At 49.9% G+C, this 7,570-nt stretch overlaps 4 annotated features.

Moving 5' to 3' along the window:
- Positions 1,660-2,516: an enhancer, noted in NCBI's record as "H3K27ac-H3K4me1 hESC enhancer chr11:45716940-45717796 (GRCh37/hg19 assembly coordinates)". NCBI's record gives its function as "activates a minimal SCP1, AML or CMV promoter by ChIP-STARR-seq in primed H9 embryonic stem cells {active_cell/tissue: H9 hESC(primed)}" and the evidence as "EXISTENCE:reporter gene assay evidence [ECO:0000049][PMID:30033119]".
- Positions 4,701-5,202: an enhancer, noted in NCBI's record as "H3K4me1 hESC enhancer chr11:45719981-45720482 (GRCh37/hg19 assembly coordinates)". NCBI's record gives its function as "activates a minimal SCP1, AML or CMV promoter by ChIP-STARR-seq in primed H9 embryonic stem cells {active_cell/tissue: H9 hESC(primed)}" and the evidence as "EXISTENCE:reporter gene assay evidence [ECO:0000049][PMID:30033119]".
- Positions 4,811-5,003: a silencer, noted in NCBI's record as "fragment chr11:45720091-45720283 (GRCh37/hg19 assembly coordinates)". NCBI's record gives its function as "represses an EF-1alpha promoter that drives an FKBP-Casp9 reporter gene in an ReSE screen in HepG2 liver carcinoma cells {active_cell/tissue: HepG2}" and the evidence as "EXISTENCE:reporter gene assay evidence [ECO:0000049][PMID:32094911]".
- Positions 5,203-5,702: an enhancer, noted in NCBI's record as "H3K4me1 hESC enhancer chr11:45720483-45720982 (GRCh37/hg19 assembly coordinates)". NCBI's record gives its function as "activates a minimal SCP1, AML or CMV promoter by ChIP-STARR-seq in primed H9 embryonic stem cells {active_cell/tissue: H9 hESC(primed)}" and the evidence as "EXISTENCE:reporter gene assay evidence [ECO:0000049][PMID:30033119]".

The raw sequence follows: 7,570 nt of genomic DNA on the forward strand, positions 1-7,570 counted from the left end.
AGCCAGCACCACCATCCGCTCCAGCCTGTTCTCTACTCAAAGGCCACAGTTTTTGCCTGTTTGTGTCTGACAGCACTCATTTCACTCCGAGTTACATCCAAGGGATCCGTTGCTAGGCCATCTCCCAGCTTATGTGTAAGCTCCTTGCGGGCAGAGCTCCTCTGAAGCACCTATAGAGCCCTGCACTGGGCGTGAGCAGGGCTCACTCAGCAGGGCCCACTCAGCAAGTGCTAGGTCGTCAACGACCTGTGGAATAAATAGCCAGCCCTCCCAAGCAGCTGCCTGCCTCCCTCCTCAAAAAAGTCTGTTGACTCCACAGATCCCAGAATCAGGCTTCTCAAATGTGCTGCATGGATGACCGGCAGCTGAAATACCTAGTGAGCTTGTTAAAGATTCAGGTTCCTCAGCTCCACCCCACACCTATGAAATAAGAATCTCTGGGGTGTGCTGACTCCAAGAGCCTCCCCAGGTCTGGCCCAGAGCTCCAGTGGACTCTAAAGCTAGGCCCTTCTGCAGGAAGGGGATAGACAATGTCCCATAAGCAGCCCAGGGTATAGATGGCAGGGGATTGAGGCAGGGGACAGGACTGAGATTCTGCATCTGCTAACCATCATTGCAAGTCCCTGATACTTGCCTTTCTCTAACCAAGTTATGACAGCAAAGGCACCACCTTCCTGCCCATCACCAGCAGCTAGCAGTTCTCTTATTGCTGCCTTCCTTCCCCGTCCCATCAACCCAACAGGGCTGGAACTGACTCTCATCTTCAGTCAGCCTCTCCCTCCACCTAAGGCCTCATAGCTCTTCTTCCACTGAATTTAAACAGCTTCTTCTTCCCCAAGGCAAAGAAAAAAAGGGATTCTTTTCCTCCTACTCTTTCCACTGCCCACCAGCCTGCTAGGGTGTTTTCTAAAACCAATGTGAGAAGCGTTTTCAGTCACACACTTTATATCCCACCTAACTAAACCTCTGCTGGCTGTCCAGACAGACTTTCCTCCCATCCCCTGGGGCTTCAGACCCACAGGGCCCTCACAGACCTCTCAAGTCAAGTGTCAGTGGTGTGCTGGGCACCATCACAGGACTGGAAATACAAGTGCCCAGGTGAGGACCAGCTCCAGGTGGACCACGTGGCTCTGGGGAACTCTTGCGCCCCTCTGTTGGGAATAACGTTCAAAATCCTAAGGAAATTGAACACTCAAACAAAGGATGCTTAGCAAAGCAATTTTGCTTCTGTGCAGAGGGTGCTTCTCCTTGGCCAGTCGCCATGAGAGCACACCTGAACAAAGGGGCACGAGAGCCTTTAATCCTGACGCAAGTCCTGCCCCTGTACCCTTTCCCCGTTGGCCAGGGTCAGGTCGCACAATCTGAACTAATCCCGGTTGGCTAAACATTTCAGCTTTTTTTTTTTTTAGATAAGGTGGGCACATAAGGGAGAGAGGGGAAAGGGGAAGGGGTGTCTGCAATGAGCTAGAGAGCTGGTCTTCTTTCCAAATAAGGAAAGGAATGTCAACTGGTACTGATAATGCCTGGTACTGTGGTGTGTCTGGGCATGTAACAAAGGCAGAAAGGAAGAAAAAAAGAGAAAAAGGAAAAAGGGGTCGGGGGTACTATGAATTAAAGACTAAAGGATTGATCAGGCTATTTGAAGAAAAAAACCTCATCATATCCCACACCTCAGTCTCTGAAGAAGAAAGAATTTGAACCAGGTGAGCCCAGGGAAAATTTGGATTTCCTTTTGAAGAGGGATCTAATGCTAGAGTACTGGAATTCTCTAAGTTATTACTCCAGGACTAAGGGCTGCAGGGTGAGAAGACCAGAAGGAAAGAGCTCCAGCCACGAGGACAGAGCCCCAAAGCCCGGAGAAGTTGCCCTGATGGTGGTGGTCAGGACTCAACTTCACATTTTAGCGGATGCTACCCTGGGAGAAGCCAGGGGGCATTTTCCAGGAGAAGCAAGTACTGGGCCCGAGTGAGGCAATCAGAGCAAATGCTCACATCACAGTGACTCTGAGGCAGGCAACGTCTAGCACCTGAACTCATTTAATCTGCAACACATCCCATAAGGAAGGCGTGATGATTATCCCATCTAATAATGAGGATGAGGAAACGGGCACAGGAAAGGCAAATAATTTGCCTAAGGCCACAGAACTAGCAGGTGGCAGAGACAGAATTCGAACACAGGCCAAGTCGGTGAGTCGACACTCTCCACCACAATCTGTTCTCCTGTCACTCAAGGAAGACATACCCTCTCTGACAGTGTCCTTCAGCCCATCCTGCCTACCTCACAGGGGAGCGGAGCCATGCAACACTATTTTCGTGTAAGCTACCACCAGAAGCGTAAAGTCTTTGAGGTCTCAAGTCAAATGGCCTATATTTGACAAGAGACCACACATAGATTTGTACATTTCAAGAATGGGTACCTAAGGCCTAGCCCTGGGCAACATGGCCAGGTTGGGAAAAAAGATCTTTGGTGTCCCCTTCTTTCTTCACTCCATCTTTCTTCCTGGCATCCTGTTCATCTCTTCACGACAACCCCACCACCACCACCACTGCTGCCTTCTGTGCTGGGTGTAGAGAAGAACTGGACTTCAGTTTGAGTCCTATTCATTCTCCCAGCCTCTCTGAGCCTCCATTTCCTCACATCTGGCTGGCTTCTGGGCCTAGGAGCAACATCATCTAGTGGCTGGTGTCTGAGCTTAGGAAAGCCACCGAAGCTCAACTGCCACTGTGGCAGACACTGTCAGGCCCCCGCCTGCCAGCGTGTGAAATGGGGCTGTGCTGGGCTACCCGGGGGATTCAGGGCAATGCGTGGGAAGTGCTTGGGAGAGAGTCTAGCACCAAAGTCAGCACATTACCTCCATGTTCAGAAGTCGATTCAGTGCTCTTGGGAGCATGGCCTCATTTCACACTGTGGATGAAGCCACCTCCCCCGAGGAGATTCAGAGCTGAATGTCACACGGGGCCCAGCCTGGGAAAGCACTTCATGAGCAGCTCTCAGGTGGCCCGGGACCAACTGCCAGCTGTCTGGGGAATTTCTCACTAAGGCTGACATCCATTTTCCACATTTCTGTCATCTTCCTTCCTCACCCTTAGGATTCCAGATCACCTTCAGATCCCTGTAGGAAGGCAAAATGCCTCCTCGAAGCAACTGCAAACCACACCCTGGGACAAAGTATCCCGAAAGCCACGGGGCCTCCTCCCCTCTGACACCACTTCTCCATCCCTGCCCATGCTGCTCAGAAGGCCGACTCTCATATCTCTTCAACTCAAAACCTTGCCCTGCCTTCCAGGCCCCACTGGAATTACACTATTTTCAAGTGAAGAATTTCCCCGGGCTGAAGTGAACTGCCTGCTTCCTGAGCTCTCATGCCCCTGTCCTAGGATTCTGTGTGCCCGCCAGCCTCTAAGTGAGACAATGTGCTTCTTGAAGAGACCCCATGTCATGCTCTTTTCCTGAACCTGCTCATCACCAGCCTGGGTCCTGGATATGTGGTAGTCATACCATCCATGCTTGATAAACAATATGGAACAGGAGAATAAACACAGTGGTGTGCTCTGGTCCAACACAAAAGTTAGCAAACAGCAAAGGTTGATTTCCCTGAAGAACCTGGATTGGGGTGTTTCTCTACACCATGGGCTCCTGGGCCCATGTAGAATCTTCCCAACAATGCTGTGTCCTTCTCTCCCCTTTAGATCTGGACCTCAACCTCTTTCTAAAAATGTGGCTCTCCCTGCCTAGTAGACAACTGGCCTCTGCTGATTTTTAGTCTGCTTTGAGGCCAGTGTGAGGCTTTGCTTCCTCAGCAGCTGCTTCTTGGGAGAACTGGGAAAGAGGCTCCCATGGCAGCCTAGGATGGAGTATGAAGATTGTGCCCTTGGCTGTGATCCATCTTCTCAGCTTGAGCTGAGAGGTTTTGCCCAGGCAGGGCCTAAAATGGATGGGTCACAGGGCATATTAACAAATCCACGTTTAACAGAAGGTGGCCAAGAGAAGGTACCTCATGCAAAAGTCAAAGAGGCGGTCTCCTTGCTGGAGTGGCCTTTGGTTTTGTTGCATTGTTTTTTGGGGGGCGGGGAGGCAAGGAATAGAGAAATCTCTCAAAAGTGTCTCCCTGGCTACTTGTGAAAGGAAGGATAGGCCACAGGAAAGCACTGGACACTTCAGAAAAGAATGAAGGGTGAGGACTTTTTGCAGTTTTGTCCAGAGCTAGCGTTGCAGGTGGGTCTCTGGATTAGGCTCCACCCCTTATGTACAAACAACTGGAAAATGTAATCATCTGAAACACAGACAAAGTGTTATGCACAAAGAGGCTGAGTCTAGTTTGTAATGGTAAAAAACTGACCAAAATGTCTGGTAAAAGTTGAATAGTCAGATGAATAAGGACAGCTCCTTGGGATAGATTTTTATTAATATATTAAATTTCTTGAAGAATTTTCATGACACAGAGAAATGCATAAGCCATAAAGAGAAAAAACTTGCTGCAATACTATACCTACAGTATATGCAGGCTGCACCAAACCAGGAAAAAAAAACAGTGGTCAAACTCAGCGTGATAAGAAGGCAGGCCCAGGGGACCCCTAGAAATTGAAAGGGAAGAATAGTGGAGGCCACATCAAAGCACAGTGACATTCTGAGATCTTCTCTTATGTATTTATTTCTGTGTATACATTTCCAAGTTTTCTATAATGAACTCATATTTCTTTCATAATCTAAGATCATATAAAAGGAAACAAAGAAGAAAAGTAGGGAGGAGTGACTGTTAGAAGACAGAGAAGAAAAAGGGAGGCAGGCAGGGTACCTGCGATGAGGAAGGGTGAGACCTTCTTTGTCCCACTGAGCCCTGGAGGGACTAGATTGGTGTCACCTCAGAACCCTGCCACTGGGAAGCAGGGTCTGTGCCAAACCATGGCAGGGCAAGGAAACGGTGGTCCAGGCTCCATTCAAAGGCTGGAGCAGAAGTGAAGAGAGAGAACAAAGGGAGGAGACTTTGGCACCCCACTTCAACAGCCTTTGTGCTGGCACCTACTCCGCTTGGCCACATGCTAGGACAGCTTAGCAGCGTGTGTCCCTGAGGAGCAGCCTGGGCTCTTCATGCACACACACACACGGACACGCATGCACGCACACACACACGTGAATCTCCCAGCCCAGTCACCCCATCTCTAGTTCCTCCCCTTCAGGCTGCAAAAGGGAAGGATGCCTGGCACCTAAGGCAGTTTGCCCTAGTCCGGAAAGCTCCCACCTGCACCTCTCCCTCCCTCCACTTCCCACAGCTTGCCACCCCCAGGGCCTTGGGTCTGGCTTCTTTCTGCTTCTACCCAGCTCCTCTGGGGTGGCTTGCAGGTGCCCCACCTTCTCCAGCTCACTTCTCCAGGTCCCTGCCGGCCATGCCTGAGACTTCACCTGGTAGATCTGCCTCTCAGTGCTACTGCTGCCCATTCTAGCCTCCACCACTCTCCCCTTTCAATTCCTAGGGCCCTATGGGGCTGGCTCCTTATTACACAGTCCAGTGTGTGTCTTTGCAAAGTAAGGACTGAAGAGCTAGAGTGTGCAGACATTGCCCTTATCGCCAGCCTCTTCTGAGAAAAACCACAACATGTTAGAACTGGAAGAGACTTCAGCAGCCATTGAGGTCAGCCCCCTTTGCCTGCACCTGCCCCCAGTTCTGCTTCCAAAGATCCAGAATCAAACACAGCAACCCCAGGTCTTCTCCCAAATGCCCTCCAGCTTCCACAGGATCCATGGTCCTGCAGAAATGCACAGGGGAGATGGGTGAGACCATCACTCTGCACAGGTGTGTCATAAGGAGTGCCACAGAAAGTTCAAAGATGCCCCAGAGCCCAGGATGAGACTCAAGTAGCCAGTGTAGCCCATAAGACACCTCCGCACACACACAACCCAGGACCTCTCCCCATCCCTGAGACACCAGGGCCAACCAGAGGGTCTTTTCCTCTCCCATGACTCCCCTTTGAAGCCCATCGTCCTTCCCAAAGGAATAAGAGAGCTTAACTCAGACTCTCTTCACTGGCTGAACAGGATATTGGACCACACATGCTCCACTGAGGGTCCTAGAAAATCCTCAAATTCAGAACCCAAATGGTACAACTGCCAGAAAGATATTGCCTGCCCCTTACATGCTTTTGCTCAGAAGACCACCTAGAGTCCCAGCCCAGGAGTAGTCCCAAGAGATGAGAGATGTTCCAGAGGGGACAAGGACACATAGTGTCTTTCCACCACCGCCTCTTCCATTCCTCTCTCCCCATAAGGACATGTGGCTCCTCTCAGCCATCCCTGTGTTTCATTCTCATTAGGCCCCAGAGGAGGGATGTCATTGCTCCTTAGTTCAACCGGAACAATAAGATAATGAGGAGACACTTTCATATTTCCCAATCTGACTTCACATGGCTGTTGCAGAACTTTTCCTTAGTTCAGCTAAAGACGGGGTTCTTTGTCCCACAGCCATGAAAATTTAGGTTTGCAGACAATTTGAGTGATGAGTAAGACAGGGTTTTATTGGGTGAAAAGGAAGAAAAGGGGGAAACAAGGACTCTCACCAGGACAGAGTCCCTGCTACACGGCTTCCCACCTGGCCTTTTCAAATCTGTTTCCATACAGGAAGAGGAGAGGCCAGTCTCCTCCCTGCTGCAAACGTCATGAACTTCCTGAAACTTCACCTCAGTGGGCAGGCTGGTTGAAGTTCTCCAGGGACCCCCTCCCACCTGGCTGTCTCAGCTGCAAGGAGGGACTGCATTGGGGATTGCTGAGAGATAAAAGTTTAACTCAGGTCCTGCCATCTCTCTTGGCCACCCAGCCAGCCAGGAGTTTAAGATTAATGACTGAGAAGAACAGGCTTATGGAACTCCAGTGGGTTGGCTGGAATTTGAAATGTCTATCCTAGAAAACAAGGAGTTTAAAGGAGCTCCAGGCTTAGAGGCAAGGAAAATTAACTAGGAGGATAAAGAAGTGGGAGATTGGCAAGATAGAAGCTAGGGATGGGCAGCTCCCTGGACAGGGCAGCCAGGCAGGATGTCGAATCTGGTGGCAGAATATCCAGCCCATCCCAGGGCTCAGAGAGTTCCAGCTTCTTCTCTCCTCATCCAGGGAGGCAGCAGAATGGAAAACTAGAAATGCTTTAGAGCAGGACAGACTGAGGCTCCAATCCTCATTCCGTTGCTTCTGAGCTATGTGATCTTGAGCATATTACTTAAGGTCTCTGAGCCTCGGAGTTTTGCCACCTATAAATGGGAGTCACTGATACCTCAAAGTGTTTTGTAAGAGCTAAATGGGATAAATGAAAGCCCTGAAACAATTCCTGGCCTGTAACAAATGTTGGATCAAAGTAGGCAGTTCTCCTTTAAATCACATGAAATATCAGATCTTCTCAGGCCTCAGAGCTATTTAGCCACCTGCTCCCCTTTAATGGGAACAAAGGTCTCCTGAAGGACACACCGGTTATATGAGGACAGCCCACTTATTCACTCATTCATTCATTCATTCAACAATTGTTCATTGAGTGTTTCCTTATATGTCACGCCATAGGAATGTAACTGGACAAAATGAGGTACCTGCTCTC

The sequence above is a fragment of the Homo sapiens genome, chromosome 11 (genome assembly GCF_000001405.40).
Source record: "Homo sapiens chromosome 11, GRCh38.p14 Primary Assembly".
In the NCBI taxonomy this organism is placed as follows: domain Eukaryota; kingdom Metazoa; phylum Chordata; class Mammalia; order Primates; family Hominidae; genus Homo; species Homo sapiens.